The 18,017-nt window shown below is 42.0% G+C and overlaps 2 protein-coding genes across 3 annotated transcripts in view, besides 8 other annotated features; one reads left to right on the top strand and one right to left on the bottom strand.

Annotated features, from left to right (window-relative positions):
- DTX4 (deltex E3 ubiquitin ligase 4) overlaps positions 1-2,253 on the bottom strand; it is a 37,159-nt gene extending 34,906 nt beyond the window's left edge. Inside the window, exon 1 of one of the 2 annotated variants that reach the window (NM_001300727.2) lies at positions 2,195-2,253. Coding sequence is in view for 1 of the 2 variants with exons in the window: in NM_015177.2 (NP_055992.1) it covers positions 877-1,087 (211 nt within the window). In the remaining variant the exon portion in view is untranslated. Of the gene's footprint in view, positions 1-876; positions 1,552-2,194 lie in introns of those variants that run through there. The other variant, NM_015177.2, reaches the window with a different exon arrangement.
- Positions 37-865: an enhancer, noted in NCBI's record as "H3K27ac-H3K4me1 hESC enhancer chr11:58940291-58941119 (GRCh37/hg19 assembly coordinates)". NCBI's record gives its function as "activates a minimal SCP1, AML or CMV promoter by ChIP-STARR-seq in naive H9 embryonic stem cells {active_cell/tissue: H9 hESC(naive)}" and the evidence as "EXISTENCE:reporter gene assay evidence [ECO:0000049][PMID:30033119]".
- On the top strand, positions 238-3,608 carry LOC124902601 (basic proline-rich protein-like). The gene is made up of 2 exons (XM_047427951.1): positions 238-418; positions 953-3,608. The coding sequence occupies exons 1-2, from the start codon at positions 238-240 to the stop codon at positions 1,759-1,761; spliced, it is 990 nt and encodes a 329-aa protein (XP_047283907.1). The 3' UTR covers positions 1,762-3,608.
- Positions 485-594: an enhancer, noted in NCBI's record as "active region_4750". NCBI's record gives its function as "activates an Ori minimal core promoter by ATAC-STARR-seq in GM12878 lymphoblastoid cells {active_cell/tissue: GM12878}" and the evidence as "EXISTENCE:reporter gene assay evidence [ECO:0000049][PMID:35858748]".
- Positions 935-984: a silencer, noted in NCBI's record as "silent region_3361". NCBI's record gives its function as "represses an Ori minimal core promoter by ATAC-STARR-seq in GM12878 lymphoblastoid cells {active_cell/tissue: GM12878}" and the evidence as "EXISTENCE:reporter gene assay evidence [ECO:0000049][PMID:35858748]".
- Positions 1,045-1,614: a silencer, noted in NCBI's record as "silent region_3360". NCBI's record gives its function as "represses an Ori minimal core promoter by ATAC-STARR-seq in GM12878 lymphoblastoid cells {active_cell/tissue: GM12878}" and the evidence as "EXISTENCE:reporter gene assay evidence [ECO:0000049][PMID:35858748]".
- Positions 1,045-1,787: a biological region, named in NCBI's record as "Sharpr-MPRA regulatory region 11967".
- Positions 1,493-1,787: an enhancer, noted in NCBI's record as "tiled region #11967; K562 Activating DNase matched - State 4:PromP". NCBI's record gives its function as "activates a minimal TATA promoter and a strong SV40 promoter by Sharpr-MPRA in K562 cells {active_cell/tissue: K562}" and the evidence as "EXISTENCE:reporter gene assay evidence [ECO:0000049][PMID:27701403]".
- Positions 1,874-2,414: an enhancer, noted in NCBI's record as "NANOG-H3K27ac-H3K4me1 hESC enhancer chr11:58938742-58939282 (GRCh37/hg19 assembly coordinates)". NCBI's record gives its function as "activates a minimal SCP1, AML or CMV promoter by ChIP-STARR-seq in primed H9 embryonic stem cells {active_cell/tissue: H9 hESC(primed)}" and the evidence as "EXISTENCE:reporter gene assay evidence [ECO:0000049][PMID:30033119]".
- Positions 14,892-14,941: an enhancer, noted in NCBI's record as "active region_4749". NCBI's record gives its function as "activates an Ori minimal core promoter by ATAC-STARR-seq in GM12878 lymphoblastoid cells {active_cell/tissue: GM12878}" and the evidence as "EXISTENCE:reporter gene assay evidence [ECO:0000049][PMID:35858748]".

Below are 18,017 nucleotides of genomic sequence, written 5' to 3'. Positions count from 1 at the left end.
TTCTCATGAAAAGATAGGAGTTTGGCGCTCCAGGAGACCATGGGTTCCTTACAGGCTATGGTTTCAAGAGGAAGCCTGGGGACAGTTTCTCCTTAGGAATCTGCGTCCTCCTCCTCCGCAGACAAAGGGAGCGGCTTCCCTGCCATGCATTCCGAAGCCCCGAGCCTCCCCCTCCTCTCTCCATCTGCTCCGGCCTGTTGCTTCCGCGCATGTAGTGTGTAGCAGAGGCATTCGCCAATGCCGCGGCGTCCAGGGTACCCCAGCCCTAGTCTCTCCTCCCAGGGAGCCCGGCGCTTCCCTTACCCGACTGTAGCGAGAACCTCCGGGGAATCCCTTCTTCCTCCCCCAGTTCCCACACCCAGGACCCAGCTGCGGGGAGGCATCCCACACAGGAGACGCAGAGGCAGTGAGATCGGGGGTGAGGGGACGTGTGGCAAGCCCCAGCGTGCCTGAAGCAAAACAGGGTCAGGTCAGCCAAGGTGCCGGCCGCCACGGGATGAGGGCAGGAAGCCTTTGCGAAGGGCTGGGATTGCCTGTAGTCTGGGGCGGCCCTAGAATTTCTACATAGAAAGACTTAGGGCCACCAACTGCTGAAAAGCGGGGGCATGAAAGGGGTGGGGAGTGGATTGTTACCGACTAGGTTGAAGCTGGGTTTGCAAAACCACAACACTGATACTATTTGCATGGATGTTTAAGGGGGAGGGAGGATCCTGCGAGGATTCAGCGGAGTGAATCGCCTCCCACCACCACCTCTTGGTGACACTGCTGCACAGAAGTGCCGACTAGGTGGCCAAGGTGGGTTCACAGGGAGGGAGGTACCTTGGCAGGTTGGGAAGGTGGGAGCAGGCGGGGCGGGGTCAGGGGCGGCTGGCTCACCCGTGTCTTGGCGGAACTGGTTCATGGACTGCAGGTCGATGATGTAGGGCGCGAGACGGCTGTCCACCTGGCCCAGCACCACGCTGCCCCCCGCGCGGGGGCCGGCGCGGACCACCGCCTCGATGTGGTGGCTCACCGCTGGGCTGTAGGGACGCCAGCGGCCGTGCTCGTTCAGCCATTCCCAGACCACCACGGCCGAGGCCAGGAGCATGGCGAGCCCGGGGCTGCGGCGCTGCGCGGCCCGCCTCCCGGGCCCCGAGCGCCCGACCTCCTCCGCTTCCTCCTGCGCCGCCGCCTCCGGGCCTCGACCGCGCCCCCTGCCCCGCGCCCCGCCGCCCCGGGCAGCCTCAGCTCCGGCCCATGGGCTCCTCCCCAGCCGTGCATCCACCGGGGCCGGGACACCGGGGCCGCCTGGCTGGGACCGCGCGCCGCCGCCGCCGCCGGGGTCCGCTGCTGCTGCCGCTGCTCTGTGGGGTCGAGTCGCTTCATGCAAATGCCCGGCTCTCTGCAAACAGGCCCCCGCCTTGCAAAAGCCACTCGGCGGGCGCGCGGCCCGAGCCCCGGCGGCCGCGAGCTGGGGCTGACGGCGAGGCAAGGACCCAGCCCTCGCACCAGTTGCGCCTCGGCCTCTGCAGACGCCGGGGTGGGATCTCGCCGCACGGCCGCGCTCGGAATGGCACGCTCTGGTCCCCTCCCCTCTCTCCCTCCCTCCCCACCCCTTCGCCGCACGAATTGCAGTCCCCGCCGCTGGGAGAGCTCCCCCTGCCTGTGGCTCTGCTCAGTTCCTTCCAGAATGAACCACCCCTCCCAAGCAGGGCGCTAAGGCAAACCCGCGCCCGCGTGTGTTTCCCTGGTTCCTTGATGCAGAGAAGCGACCCGCCATGACACGGCCCCGGGACCACCACTGTCGCCCAGCCGCAACTTTGCAGCCTCCTTCCCCCAAATGTAATTTTCTCTCTCTCTCTCTTTTTTTTTCCTTAATGCAGCATGATCAGTGTCCGCAGCGCGAACTGGAGACACGCATTGTCTCGGGGCTTGCGCACGCACTGGCACACTCACAGTCGCACACACACGCGCGCGCACCCCAACTCCTTCCTTGCCCCGGCTCCTATTACCTCATCCTCTCCCGCATCCTTAGCTGTCCGTCAAGGAAGCAGAAGACACGCCCCCTGCTGCTCGGGCGAGTGCCCTGGAGCTTACCCGCCCCCTGCTGGCCTAAAGTGTCGTGTGCCGGCCAGTGGCCACTCCAACCTCTGCTAATGAGACCCAGTCCAAAGGGATGCAGCAATTTCGCTAATGATGGATTTATATTACCTACGTAGAGAGCAAATGTGGTTTTTCTGGCCAGATTCAACGTACTAGAGTCAGGAAGACGCATGTTAGATTAATTTTATCTGCATCGTTTCTGTAACTAAAATTATGAAACACTAGGAAAAACACGAGTTAGACTTATTTTGATCATCAATAGTTAATATGGAAAATAACCTTAAATAGGTAGGTTCTGACTAAAAGGGAAGACTGAAGTCAGGATTATGCATTATCCTTGTCAAAGAACACAAATTTTGTTTTGTTGAGATTGCAAACCACATAAAACAACGAATCGAGTCTTATCAAGATCCAAGTTATAGGATGCGGGAAAGTAAAAATAGATTATGTGTTAGAGAATGGGATTGTGAATCTTTTTGAAATAATCAATTTTTTCATAAATATCATATGACCCTTTTATGTTTTAGAAGAGTTGCTTCCCCCTCCCTCTCCTTGCAGCTGTCATTTCTCCCATTGTTAGAATTTTGCATCCTTCTACCTTTATCTTTCTCCCAACAGAGTTCTAAATACAAAGCAAAAGAAAAAGTGTGAGATCTGTTCTTCTTCAGGCCCCTAAAGGCACCAGGCTCAAGGAACCTCTGAGCTTTGTTCTTTCTGGTCTTCTTGCACAGCTTGGCCTCCAAAATGCCTAGTCGGCCTCTCCCTTATTTGGGGACTGTTCCTAATCCAACCTAAACAATACCACTCATTAAAATGTCGAGTTTCAGAATTAGAAGAACAAAAAGAAAACAAGGATACCTCGACTAATTATATCATAGGCCATTATTATTACCATTTTACAAATGACAGGACTTAAGGAATTTAAACTATTTGCCCTAGATTACATAGCTAGTTAGAGGGGAAACCAGTATTCAAAATTTAGTTGGGCTGTCTCAAAAGAAAATGCCTGTTCCATAGCATGTCCTATACAACACAGAGGTGGCACAATAACAGGCAATGTAGAAGTGTCTCAGTGTGAAAGAAGGGAAGGGAGAAAATGGGGGTAGAATTTTCTGGAAAAGAAACAGAAGGCAAACTGAAGAAAAAGTAATTTAAAAATTTATTGGGCTACTTTTATTTCTAGTCATAAAAATGGAAAGTATCAAAACTCAGGAAACTTTCTTATAGTCTTGGTAAGTATGAATCAAAAAGTGAAGAGTAATGATTCAAGGGGATATTGGAAGTACCAGCGAAAATATAGCACCTGACCAGCTAAGCCAGAAATTCCAAGGTGAAAAAAATCTAAACTAGATAAGCAGGCTACCAGCAAATGTTAGATGAGCTGTTTGAAAGGCGAATGGAAGGCAGAAGGAAACTGACGCCTACCTGCCTATGTCCAGCCTAGTTTTGTATCTGGTCTTCTTGTATCTTCCATGTTAAACACAACAGAGTATTACAGCAGAATAAAAATATCTTATGACATGTGAGAAGGTTTGTATGTAGTCTGATTCATTTGCAAGAGGAAGTGAATACACACACACACATACACACATATACACACAAATGAGAGGGGTCTTTAAAATTTTATGGAAAATGCATATTATGAAAAAACTAGGCTGGTAGTTCAAATTGTTTTTTTGCACCCAAATAAACTCATACTAACTTGTTATAACATGTCTGAACAGGATCTAGTTTGAGACACTAAGAAGGGTAAGACAATGCCCTTACTGAAGAGGATCAAGGATTAGCAGTCAAAACAATAGCCTACACCATAGATATGTCAACTGGTTCAGCTTACACAATTCTGACAAAGAAATTAAACTTTCCATTCCTTGATAGGTGCCAAAACCATTGCACCCAGGTTGGCCACAGACAAGAGCAGGCCTTTCAATAGAGATTTTAAATGGGTGGGATCAGGATCATGAAACATTTCTTTGAAGAATTGTAACAGGAGATGAAACATTACCAGTATAATCCTGATGACAAGGAACAACCAAAGCAATGGCTATCAAGAGGTAGAAGTGGTCCAGTCAAAGCAAAAGTGCACTGGTCAAAAGCAGAGACCATGGCAACAATTTTTTGGAGATGCTCAAGGCATTTTACTTACTGACTTTCTGGAGGGCCAGAGAACAATAACATCTGCCTAATATGAGAGTATTTTGCAAAAATTAGCAACAGCTTTAGGATAAAATACCTGGGAAAGCTTCACCAGAGTCGTTCTCCACCATGGCAATGTTCATGCTCATTCCTCTCATCAAACAAACGCACTTTTGTGAGCAATTTGATGGAAAATCTTTTAATCTGCTGTACAGTCCTGATTTGGCTCCTCTGACTTCTTTTTGTTTCCTAATCTTAAAAAATTTTTTAAAGAGCATCTGTTTTTCTATAGTAAAGTAAAACTGCATTGATATGGTTAGGGTCCCAGGACACTCAGTTCTTTAGTGATGGACTAAATGATTCATATCATCACCTACAAAATATCTTGAACTTGATGGTGCTTATGTTGAGAAATAAAGTGTACATTTTTTATTTTGTTTTTTAATTTTATTTTTCACAAACTTTTGGAAGTCCCCTCGTGTTTGTGTGTGTATGACTTGACATTAATAGTAAATTATAGATGTAAAATATTTGTATTTTAATAATCCATGATAATTTATAGTTTATCATGACCCAATTAGAAATAATAATTTATAATTATGTATAAATAATTATTATATATGTATATACATTTCTTAGATCTTCTAACACAATCCTAATTTCAAATAATCTGTACCATAAACCCTGAAAATCTCAGAAATTCCATTTTATTTATTTATTTATTTTTTGAGACAAAATCTTGCTCTTGTCCCCTAGGCTGGAGTGCAATGGCATGATCTCGGCTCACTGCAACCTCCTCCTCCCAGGTTCAAGCGATTCTCCTGCCTCAGCCTCCCCAGTAGCTAGGATTACAGGTGCCTGTGACCAGGCCCGGCTAATTTTTGTAGTTTTAGTAGAGATGGGGTTTCACCATGTTGGCCAGGCTGGTCTCGAACTCCGGACTCAGGTGATCCGCCCGCCTTGGCCTCCCAAAGTGCTGGGATTACAGGCATGAGCCACCGTGCCTGGCCGACATTCCATTTTAGTATCCAAACTATATCTCCCAAATTGTCTCCTGTACTCATAAGTGGCATAAAAATCTTTAACCAAATGATATGCCAAATTTTTAATTTGAACATATGATGGCTATAATAAAACCTCACTAATTGAGACTATGAAGCCAGTTTTGAACTGTTCAAAGGTACAATTTGATGATACTTCAAAAAAGGTCGTCATTGTCTAACACAAAGATTCAGTGAAAAAGCCGCTTCTCTTCTTTTTCTGTGGAATGTTCATAGACAAAGCCCTTTTTTTTTTCAATTACCTATTATTATGTAATAAAGCACCCTAAAACTGGTGGCTAAAAACAGCAGCAAGCGTTTATTTTTCAAACACATCTGCACTTTGGGGAGGGCTTCCAAGGACAGCTGGTCTTTGCTACACACAGCATTAGCTCAAGGGAGCTCTCAGGAAAGCAGGTGGCTGGAATCATCTGTAGGTTTGCTCATTCATAAGTCTACTGCTTGATACTGGCTGTTATCTGGGCACTCAACTAGGGCTATCAGCCCAAGTACCTACACATGGCCTGTCCATGTGATTGATGGGCATTCTCACAACACAGAAGTTAGTTTCCAAATAAACGAGAGGCAAGAGAAAAAGCCAGGCAGAAGATGCATTGCATTTTAATTTTTTATTTTAAAATAATTTAAATTCACATGCAGTTATAAGAAACAGACAGAGCCTGTGTATCCTCAACATCCCATAAAACTATAGGAAAACTATAGTGCAATACCATTGCTGATATTGACACAGTTAAGATACAGAATGGTTACAATTCTGCTCCATTATTGATATAATACCATTGTGTCACACATTATACAATACACATTTTGTATACAATATACATTTTCCACACCACAAGGATTTCTCATGTTGCCCTAAAAGGTCACACCCACTAATTCCTCCCCACTACCATCCTGTCCATAACTCCTGGCAATAACTAATATGTTCTCCATATTTATGATTTTGTCATTTCAAGAATATTATGCAAATGGATCATAGAGCATTCAATCTTTTAAGATAGGCTTTTTCCACTCAGCTTAATTCTCTAAAGATTCATCCAAGTTGTGTGTATCAAGAGAAGTTTGTTTCTTTTTATTGCTAAGTAGTGTTCCATAGTATCCATGGACCACCTTACTGTTCATCCATGGAAGTTCATATAAGTTGTTTCTAGTTTGGGCTATTATGAATAAAGCTACTATGAACACTCTCATCCAGGTTTTTGTGTGAAGGTAAAGTATCCATTTCTCTGTGATAAATGCCTAGGAGTACAATGGCAAGGTCATAGGGTAGTTGCATGTTTAGCTTTTTTAACAAACTGCCAGTTTTCTAAAGTGGCTGCACCATTTTGAATTTTCACCAGCAATATACCCATGATCTGGTCACTACATCTTCACCATCATTTTTTGGTCAGTATATTTTATTTTAGCCATTTTGGTAAGTGTGTAGAGTTATTTCATTGTTTTTAACTTGTTTCCTTATTGACTAATAATGTTGAACATCTTTCCATGCGTTTATTTGCCATATATGCTCTTTGATATCTGTTCAGGTCTTTTGCTGGTTTCTGTTTTCTATTATTGAAATTAGAGAGTTCTTTTTATATTCTAAATATTGGGCTGGGCACAGTGGCTCAAGCTTGTAATCCTAGCACTTTGGGAAGCCCAGTCAGGAGTTCGATTGCCTGAGCTCAAGAGCTGGAGATCAGCATGGGCAACATGGGGAAACCCTGTCTCTACAAAAAATACAAAAATTAGCTGGCCGCGGTGGTGCAGGCTTGTGGTTTCACCTACTTGTGAGGCTGAGGTGGGAGGATCGCTTGAGTCTGGGAGGTTGAGGCTGCAGTGAGCTGTGATGGTGATGTTGCACTCCAGCCTGGGCAACAGAGTGAATCCTAGTCTCAAATAAATAAATAAATAAATACTCTTGGTGGATATATAGTTTGAAAATATTTTTTCTCAATCTGTAGCTTATGTTTTCCATGCTCTTCATAGCGTCTTTCACAAAACAAAAGTTTTTTAATTTGATAAAATACAACTTACCAAATTTTTTTTTTCTAAATGGCTTCTGTTTCCCATGTTAATTTTAAGAACTCTTTGGCTAGTCCTAAGATTTGAATATTTTTTTCCTCTGTTTTGTTCTAAAACTTTCATACTTTTACAACTTCCATGTAAATCTACAATCCATTCTGAGTTAAATTTTTGTGTATGGAGTGAGGTTTGAGTGTCTTTTTATGTGTTTATTTGCCTATAGATGTATTGTCCTAGCGCTATTTGTTGAAAAGGCTTTTCTTCCTCCTTTGAATTGCTTTTGAGTCTTTGTAAAAAAATCAGTCTGGCATATTTGTGTAGATCTATTTCTGGTTTCTCTAGTCTGTTCCATTGACCTATATGTCTGTCCCTTCACCACTACTGCACAATGTTGATTAATAAGCTGTATTAATAAGCTATGTAATGTCTTATTGTAAATTGGGTAGATTGATTCATCTCACTTTATTCTTCTTCAAAATTGTTTAGGCTATTCTGGATCCTTTGATTTCCACATAAATACTAGAATAATCTTGTCTATATGTGCAAAAATTCTTGCTGGGATTTTGATAGGAATTGCATTGAAGCTGTATATCAATTTGAGGAGAATTGACATATTTTTACTGTGTTAAGTCTTCCAATCCATAAACACGATATGGATATGCTTCTCTATTTATTTAGATCTTCTTTGTTTTATGTGTTTTCTAGTTTTCAGCATACCTATCCAGTTCATTTTTTGCTCAATGTACACTTAAGTAGTTCATTTTGTTTCAGAGTGATTATATTAATAAATGGCATTCTATTTTTAATTTTGGTTCCACGTACTTATTGCTGGTACATATAAATACAATGGATTTTTGTATGTTTATTTAGTATCTTGTAAGCTTGCTAAGGAGTCCAAATCTGGGTCTAAGAGTTCTTTTATAGATTCCTTAGGAGTTTACATGTCATCTCCAAATAGGGACAATTTTGTTTCTTCATTTCTGATCCTTATGCTTTTCTTTTCTTTTCTTTTCTTTCTTTCTTTTTTTTTTTGAGACGGAGTCTTGCTCTGTCGCCCAGGCTGGAGTGCAGTGACGCAATCTCGGCTCACTGCAAGCTCCGCCTCCCAGGTTCACGCCATTCCCCTGCCTCAGCCTCCCGAGTACCTGGGACTACAGGCGCCCGCCACCACGCCTGGCTAATTTTTTGTATTTTTAGTAGAGACGGGGTTTCACTGGGTTAGCCAGAATGGTCTTGATCTCCTGACCTCGTGATCCGCCCGCCTTGGCCTCCCAAAGTGCTGGGATTACAGGCGTGAGCCACCGCGCCCGGCCGATCCTTATGTTTTTCATTTCCTTTTCTTGCCTTACTTAGAATTGTATTACCTGGAATTTCCAGTACTATGTTTAATACAGTTGTGAGAATAGACATTCTTGCCTTGTTTCTGATCTTAGATAACATCTAGTTTTTCACTAAGAACTGTGATAATAGCTGTAGGTGTTCATTTTAGATGTTCTTTATCAAGTTGAGGAAGTTTTCCTCTATCCTTATTTTTCTGAGAGTTTTTTAAATCATGAACAGATATTGAGTTTTATTAAATGCTTTTTTGGTATCAATTGATATGATCATGAGATTTTGTTTCTTCAGACTGCTAATATGGTGGATTGCATTGATTTTCAAATACTTAATGAGATGTGCATCCCTGGAATAAACCCCACTTTGTCATAGTGTATAATTATTATAAAATATTGCTATATTTCATTTGTTAAAGTTTTCAGGGGGCTGGGCATGGTGGTGCATACCTGTAGTCCAACTTCAGAGGTTAAGGCAAAAGGGTACCTTGAGCCCAGGATTTCAAGGTTACAGTGAGCTATGATGAGCCACTGCACTCCAGCCTGGGTGACAGAGGAAGAGCCTGTCTCAAAAAAAAAAAAAAAAAAAAAAATTGGCGGTGGTCTATATTTATAAAGAATCTTGGTGTATAGTTTTCTTTTCTCTTTCTTTTGTTAAATTAAGCTTAGCCTAAAGCTACCTCCTTACATACTTTAAGTTTAACCTAAACGTTTCTCAATACATAGTGAACTATAACTTAACCGAATGTGGAAACAGACTAGCCTACTTTTGTAGCAACTACCTGAGTCTCAGCCAATCACAGAAGCAATACTTCAACCACTCACAGGAGGCCAACTGTTCCAATAGTGTTCAAACAAGGTAAATGCTGCGCTGTAGCCAAGGCAACTGTTTCTTTTCTTTTCTTTTTTCTTCTTTTTTAAACTTTTTATTTCAAAATACTTTCTAAAATTGTATTTTAAAATTGACACATGATTGTACATATTTATGGGGTACATAGTGATGTTTTGATACATATAATATATAGTGATCAGATCAGGGTAACTAGCATATACGTCCACCTCAAACATTTATCATTTCTTTTTGTTGGGAACATTTAATATCCTCCTAGATATTTGAGTTGCTCTCTTATTGTATAGAAACAAGGCTGCTGTTTCTATACCTCACTTTCATTTTCTCTAAGCTACTTTCCTTTCTCTGTCCATAAATTATCTTCAACTAAGTGGCAGTGTTGGAGTGTCTCCCAATCTATTCTAGTTCTGTGGAGTTGCCTGATTCTCGAATTGTTCTTTGCTCTGTAAAATTCTGTTAAATTAAATTTGTCTAAAGTTTGTCTTTTAATACTTTCATTTTGGGAGGGGTGGTATCAGAATAATACTAGCTTCATAAAAATGAATTGGGAAGTTTTCTACCCTCTTCTATTTTCTGAAACAGACTGTATAGAATTGGTGTTAATTCTTCTTTAAAAGTTTGATAGAATTGTCCAGTAAAAGCATCTAGCCCTGGAGATGTCTTTTTCAGAAGATTTTAAATTACAAATTCAATTTCCTTAATAGAGCGCTATTCAAATTACCTATTTCATATCGGATGAGTTGTGGTCATTTGTATTTTTTAAGGGATTGGTCCATTTTATACAAGTTGTCAAATTTATGTGTGGAGTTGTTCATAATGTGTGCTTATTATACTTTTGATATCTTCAAGGGCTGTGGTGATAACATGGCTTCATTCTTGATGTTATTGGCAATTTGGTTTTCTCCCCCCACCTCTCCCTTTCTCCTTCCCTCCTTCCCTGCCAGTCTCGCTAAGCAGTATGTCAATTTCATGTATTTTTTTTTTCAAAAGAACCAACTCATTGTTTATTTTGGCTCTTATCTTTATTATTGTCTTAATTTGGCTACCTATTTTGCTCTTTTTTTAGATTATTATAGTAAAAGCTGATATTATTGGTTTGAGGCTTTTCCTCTTTCCTAATGTAAGCATTTAGTGCTATTGATTTTCCTCTCACCATGGCTTTGGCTGTGTCCCACAAATTTTGAGACGCTTTATTTTCACCTTTATTCAGTTCAATGTCTTTTTAAATTTCTCCTGAGTCTTCTTCTTTAACCTACGCACTATCTGAGGTGGGAGGATCATGAGGTCAGGAGATCGAGACCATCCTGGCTAACAAGGTGAAACCCCGTCTCTACTAAAAATACAAAAAAAAAAATTAGCTGTGCGTGGTGGCGGGAGCCTGTAGTCCCAGCTCCTTGGGAGGCTGAGGCAGGAGAATGGCATGAACCCGGGAGGCAGAGCTTGCAGTGAGGCGAGATCGCACCACTGCACTCCAGCCAGGGTGACAGAGTGAGACTCCGTCTCAAAAAAAAAAAAAAAAAGAAAGAAAGAAAGAAAGAAAGAAAGAAGTGAGAAGTGTGCTGTTTGGCTTTCAAATGTTTGGAGGTTTTTCTGTTATTGTTAGGTTATTGATTCCTAGTTTGATCCCATTGTAGCCCAGAGGACACACTCAATATGATTTCAACTCTTTCAAATTTGTTGAGGTTTGTGTCATGGCCTAGGATATGATCTATCTTTGTATTCACTCTGTGGGTGCTTGAAAAGAATGTGTACTCTACTGTTGGATGAAGTGTTCTATAAATGACCAGTAGACCCTGTTGGTTTATCATGTTGTTCCGTTCTTCCATATCCAGGCTGATTTTCTGTATAGTTGTTCTATAAGTTGTTGAGAGAGGAGGATGTTGAGTTCTCTAACTATAATTGTGGATTTGCCTATTATCCTTTTAGTTATATCAGGATTTGCTTAACATATTTTGTCACTTTGTTGTTTTGTGCTTGCACACCTGTAATTACTGTGTCTTTTAGGTGATCAATCCTTTTATTATTATATAATAGCACTCTCTGTCTCTGGTAATTTTCTCTGATCTGAAGTCTATTTTATTTAATATTTATAGTGGTGGACTTGGACCACACATTATCAGCACCACTTCTGGAGGATCTGGAGACTAAGGTCAGCCATATCTACATGAATAGCCCCCAGTAAAAACCCTGACACTGAAGCTCAGGTGAGCTTCCCTGGCTGATGATACTTCATGTGTATTGTCACACATTGTGGCTGGGAGAAATAGCACTATCTATACAACTCCACTGGGAAGAGACAGCTGGGGCATAAATCTGAAAAGACTGAACAAGCTCTATATGAAGAAAACTACAAAATTCCGATAAATGAAATCAAAGAATGACTAAATACATGGAGAGATAGTCAATGTACATTTATAGAAAGGCTCAGTATTGTCAAGTTATCAGTTCTTCCCAACTTGTTCTACAGATTCATTGCAAATGCAATCAAAATCTCAGCAAGTTAGTTTGGATGGGAAGGAGGGAAATTGCTCAAATAAATGGTATTTTTTCACTTTCAAATTCCAGTTGGTACAATGCACAGCTGGAATTTGAGAGATAATTCTCTCAAATAAATAAAATAATAAATAAAGGGAGAATTTATTTTATTTGGAATTTCGGAGAGAATTCTCATTTTTCTCACAGCAATTGATTTAGGGGATGTAACTGATTTTTACTCTCTCCCTTCTCTGGTGTCCATTCTATATCAGCCTCAGCCTCAGGTAATGCTTCTCCTAGTATTGGTGTCTTACCTGGTGGCAGGACCCAAATCTTCATTTCTGAGGGGTCTGAGACCCTGGCTGCCATGCTATTTTCAAGCTATGGTGGTGTAATTGTCTGTTTACTATCAAATTTGGTCAAGTAGGGTCCAAATGGATCATGTGAGTGGCAAACACATTTCTCCCTGCCCTTACTGTGTCACATAAGCACTTCCTCCTCCTGAAGAACTGGGTTAATTGCCTGAGCCCAGGCAATGACTCTTCTTGCATACTGGTCTCTGGATACAAAGTCTTTGCAGTGACAGGCAGAAGCTATAGCTTAGAGTTCAGCAGGACTCTTTCCGTGTCCCCTGGCAGAAGTGTGCCCCCACAGGGAATCAGGACCTTTCATCCTACAGAGCCCTGACCTGGGGGCTGGCAGGGGCATGGATGGCAGAGGGAGAGACAGGAAGCACAAATTCCCTAAGTGTGTTATTAGGGATACAGATAAAGCTAAGCAGGGCCCTTCCTGCCTCTACCCTTTGTTTCCCAGGCTGATGTATAGGCCTACATAGGTCAGATACCTGACATGGGTCTCGCTGGACTAAAATCAAGGTATCATTATGGCTCAGTTCTCTTCTGGAAGGTTTAGAAGAGAATCTGTTTCCTTGCCTTTTCTTTCTCCTAGAGCTCACTCACATTTCTTGGTTCATGACCCCTTCCCCCATCTTCAAAGCCAGCAGTGTTGCATCTCTCTGTGCCTCTTTCATGGTCACGTTTCCCTCTGAATCTCTGATTCTCCCTTTTCTCACCTTTAAGAATCATCGTGCTTACATCAGGCTATCCAGATATCCAAGATAACCTTGCTATCTTAAACTTAGATGATTAGCGGTCTTAATTCCCTTTTCCCATATAACCTACATGGTCATATTCCAGGGATTATGGTGTGAACATCTTTGGGAGCCTGCTCCACACATTTGTCATACAACTCACTTGTGGTCTCCTTTCCTGCTCATGCTGCACAATGCTAGGCATTCCAACTCCATCATACGAGAGACTGGTTTTTTGGCCACACTTGACATTATGACTTGATAATTCTGATAGAACTCACTAAAAAATGGCGAGATTTGGATGCAGAGTCACTTAATGTCTCATGGTTAGGTGCTCCCTACCAGGGCCCAAAAGGTATATTCAAACAGTATATAATTCAAAAGGAGTTGTTATTCAAAAGATATATAACTATCCACTGCAAAAAACACGGGCTTTCTCCAGAACCCCAAAACTTTGCCTTGTAATTTTCCCACTTGGGCTTGCTATCAACTCCACATGGTATCTTTTCCCACATCTGATACCAGAGGGTCAGCCAGGGCACATGGTCCAAGCAGCTGTACTGTTTTCACTATAGCTTGGATCTTCTGGGACCCTTTCCTAATCCAGACCCCACTCAAGGCTGGCAGCCTATAGCATCCCCTGTAAATTGGCTGAAACAGTATACCCATGCATGGAATATGCTACCTTCAGAACCCAAAGAGATTTATCAGGCAGTGTACTTTCTTTTTCTTCATGGGGTATGCAAGATTCAATAATTCATCCTTTTCTTTGGATGGGTGGTCTTAGCATGCCCCTGATTTAGGGGGCCTCTGATTCCTCACGGGGTTTATTTCCTGTCACCTGAAATGCATGTGTACCGGCACCTCCAAGGTAGTTGATTACTTCTTGCCATCTGGCCTAATTAGCATGTTAACATCGATATAGTAGACAGGTGTGATGGTCTGAAGGAAGTACAAGTAGTCCAAATCTTTTCTATCTATATTATAACAGAAGGAACACTATATCTAATATAGTCCTGGGGCAAAAATACACATGTACACTGTTGTCTATTCCATGTGAGTGGAACTATTTATGATCCCTTTTTCTGATAGAGATAGAAGAGAATGCATTAATTCAACTGATGGCCACATACCATGTACCTGATTAAATGTGCATTTGCTCTAGCAAAGATTCCACATCTGGCACAGTGGCTGCAACTGGGCCCACCAGTTGGTTGATTTTGTGATAGTGAATGGTCATTCTCCACAACTGATGAACTAAATGCATACATGACAGGGAGCATCATTTCTGTATCCTTTAGATCCTTAAGGATGGCACTAAGTTTCATGCCTTGTGCCCATTGGAGTCATCCAGTGAAAAGTGGAGCAGAGTGCCCTAAAGACTTACAGTGCTGAGGAGATAAAAATTGGAGTTCTGAATTCGATAACGCAGGAAGTGGGAGGACACTAGTAAACATCCCAAGGCCTCAGCTGGGGCCCTTCCAGGCTACACTCTAGAAGTGAAGCCAACCAGAGGTAGACAGAGCCTTGGCATTATACAACTGAGTCTCAAGTTGATTTTATCCATGACTGAAATCTGATCATTAAAAGGTCTGATTGATAATCAGACCTCTTAATTGATAATCAGACCTTAATGATCTGATTTCACTCTGTATCAGGAGGATACAGTAAACCCTCCTTGGAGGAAAATAACATAATTCAGGTGACAAAGTAAGAGATAACATTTCACCCGGAAAGGCATCTGACATTTTCTTTTCTTGTAAAACCAATGTGACGCCAAGACCACCCTGGCTGAGCTCTTGAATATACCATTTTCATTTAACTGCTTTTTTGGCCTTTTGGATTCTCCCTTTGTTAGTCAACCAGTCTTAGTTGACCCAAGACCCAAAAGGGATGCCAGATGGAAGAGGCATCCTTGAGTCAGGCAGTGGATCTCAAGAGTTTGGCAGCAGGGTAATTGACAGCTGCCTTTATTGGTGTGTACTTGTGGCTACCTCCAGTAGGTGGCAATGTTGTCCTAGGAAATGGCCTCTGAGCGCTTCTGTATTTAAGCAAAGCTAGGATTTCCCATTCTTTTGAAGAGTCTATATTGTTGTTGCTAGACTACTGAGAGGGGACAGGGAAACAAACTGAGAGGATGATCTACATGTCCCACAGGAAGCAGTTGCTGAACAGGGTGATCCTCTCTGACACGAGATGAGGAAGTGAAGGCACTCAACATCATTCCACAACAACGGTATCTTGAATCCGCCCAAGGAGCTCCATCTATAACGTTACTTTAGCTTTCTTTCTCTCACAGCAAATCATACCTAAACTCCATCAGTTGAATTCGTTTGCTTTTCCCCCTGTAGGAGCATAATGAAAATCAGGCTCCAACAATTGTGCCTGTCTAGGAGCCCAGGGAAGTTCAGGGTGAGAGGGAAAGGACAGCTAGGGTGGCAAATGGAAGACAGCAGAGAGAGAGAGGGAAGAAAACTTAGTTGCTAGCCTTTTCCCTCCTTTAACTCCTTGCTGCAGGGTCAGAATCTAAGCACAAGTGTCAGTTCTTTTCCATGCACCTCTCAGTATTTGGTGAACACCCAGGCCCAGAGATCCCTTTCTACCCCTATGTACACTGCCTCAGCTCCATCCTTTAGTCCTTGGTGCCTTTGGCCATTCCTGTGCCCAACATCTTGTTCTCTTACAGGACAGGGTAGGATGGTGACTTGGACACCTGAATCCAACAGAGCCATAAGCTTGAGCCCTTCCCTCCCTGAAGTTCCCCAGTATATGCACACAGGTGTGCATGGCCTCCGTCCCATTTGGGGACAGAGATATCTCAGTTGCATTCTAATTATCTTTCTCTAAAAGCAGCTGAGGTTGAGGCAGAAGGGAAGGGATGGGTTAAAGGGGGGCAAAGGGGAAGGAAATTGGCTACATGTATTTTTAGTTTTGAATGACTAGTTTGTATTCAATCAAATAAATTTCAAATGTTTTGTTCGCCCGAAGCTATATATCAAATAGCAAGGTCCTTATTGCTGACACCATGTATTTCAACTTCAGGGATTCTTCACTCAGTAGCCACAACCACGTTGCTTTTCTGCTGGGCTGTGGGGCTTGCTGCTCCATTGTCATGAGAGCATCCCTTCCTGTTCCTGCCCAGAGGAGACTGAGTCACATGAGTGACAACCAAAGAATCATTTGGGTGGCTTATTTCAATTCTACCTCTGGCCACTCAGACTCATTAGCAGGTAGGTCAGTGGGGGACCCTTAATTCACTCGCCCTTACCCCCACTGCACCTTCTGGAGAAAGTACAGCCCTGCCAACACCTTGACTTCAGGTTATACATTTCTGTCCTCTCATGACTGTGAGAGACTAAATTGTTTTAAGCCACCCAGTTCATAACAAATTACCCCAAACTTGGTGGCTTGAAACTACAGAAATCTACTCTCTTATTTCTGGAGACCAGAAGTCTGAAATTAAGATGTTATCAGGGTTGGTTCCTTCTGGAGGTTTTGAGGAGAACCTGTCCATGCCTCTCTCCTAGCTTTTAGTGGCCTCTGGCAATCCCTGGCAACCCCTGGCTTGTAGATGTATCTCTCCAATTTCTGTCTCCATCTTCACATGGCCTTTCTTTCTCGGTTTCTCCTCTGTGTTTCTTCTTTACTTATAAGGATGCTCGTTACTGGATTTAGGGCTCACCCAGTAAGTGCAGGATGATCTCATCTCTTGAATCTTAATTTAATTACATCTACAAAGCATTTTTGTCTAAATAAGGTCACATTTATAGGTATATAGGGTGAGGATAGTGCCTGCCCTTAGGGGCAGGCACAGTTAAACCCACTACAACCTTGTTTAATCCATTATCCCATTTCAAAGAGAGATCTGGAGTAGAATGTGATAGTGGGTTAGCTCTGTAACCAGGAATTGGATGAGTGAGTGGTGATAAATCCAGACCTAAGCTGAATTTTCTAGCTACCTGGTCTTGAGAGCTAGGACAAGAGAAAATCAGAGAAAGGTATTTGCTGCATTCTGAAATGCTTATATTTCTTAAGTGATCCAAGGTGGGTGTACTTTAGATGCAGGAATGGCCATAGTAGTGTCTGGATCTGATGAACTAGCTCTTAGGAGAAAGAACAATAAGCTATATTTCAAGATATAAGTCCCAGTCTTTTCCAAGATATCACCAATTTGGGTAAAAATTCAGTTATACTTCCTTCTCACACAGGCAACAGGTATAATAATATCTGCTCTAATGTGTATTGAGATAATATGTCAGAAATTATTTAATAAACAGTAAAGCCACGTAAGTTTAAGTCTCTGTGACGATTAGGCAGGCATTAGACTTGAAACCATATTTGAAATGATACAGTCAGTTCTCATTATTTGTGGTAGTTATGGTCTATAAAGATGCTGCAAATATTGAATTAGCAAATACTGAAGCATTGCCTTTAGGAGTAACACAGTGTTAAATTCATATTATCTTCTGGTCACAACATTTTCATCAAAGTCAGTAAATAAACTTGCTTTATGTGTGTTTCTGTTAAAAATACAGCTTATTTAATATATATTGTTGATTCCTTAACATTGAACTCACAGCCCAAAATGCCATAACTCCTGTCTGAAAAGCTTATCTAATACATATGTTTTCTTTATAAGGCATATTGCAGCCATCTTTTGGTAGGGAACACTCGACAGAACCTCAGTTTTATGCATGGGACCCATTTAAGCACTTAAGCAGAAAAATCACCACCAACAACAAAAAAGAAAAATGTGGAAAATGTACTAACTATATAAACAGAATCTGATTATATAGCATTCTAGAAGATGCAAAACCATAAAGATAGTAAAAAGATCAGTGATTTTTTTTTTTTTTTGCTGGGGTTCAGGGGAGAGGGGAGGGATATGAGGGATACATAGGTGAAGCACAGATTTCTAGGGTGATATAACTATTCTGTATGATAAAACCCATAGAACTTTACAGCACAGAGTGAATCAATGAATACAC

This window comes from Homo sapiens, chromosome 11, assembly GCF_000001405.40.
Source record: "Homo sapiens chromosome 11, GRCh38.p14 Primary Assembly".
NCBI lineage: Eukaryota > Metazoa > Chordata > Mammalia > Primates > Hominidae > Homo > Homo sapiens.
Note: the sequence above shows the minus strand (reverse complement) of the source record. Positions and strands in the feature narration are given on the sequence as shown.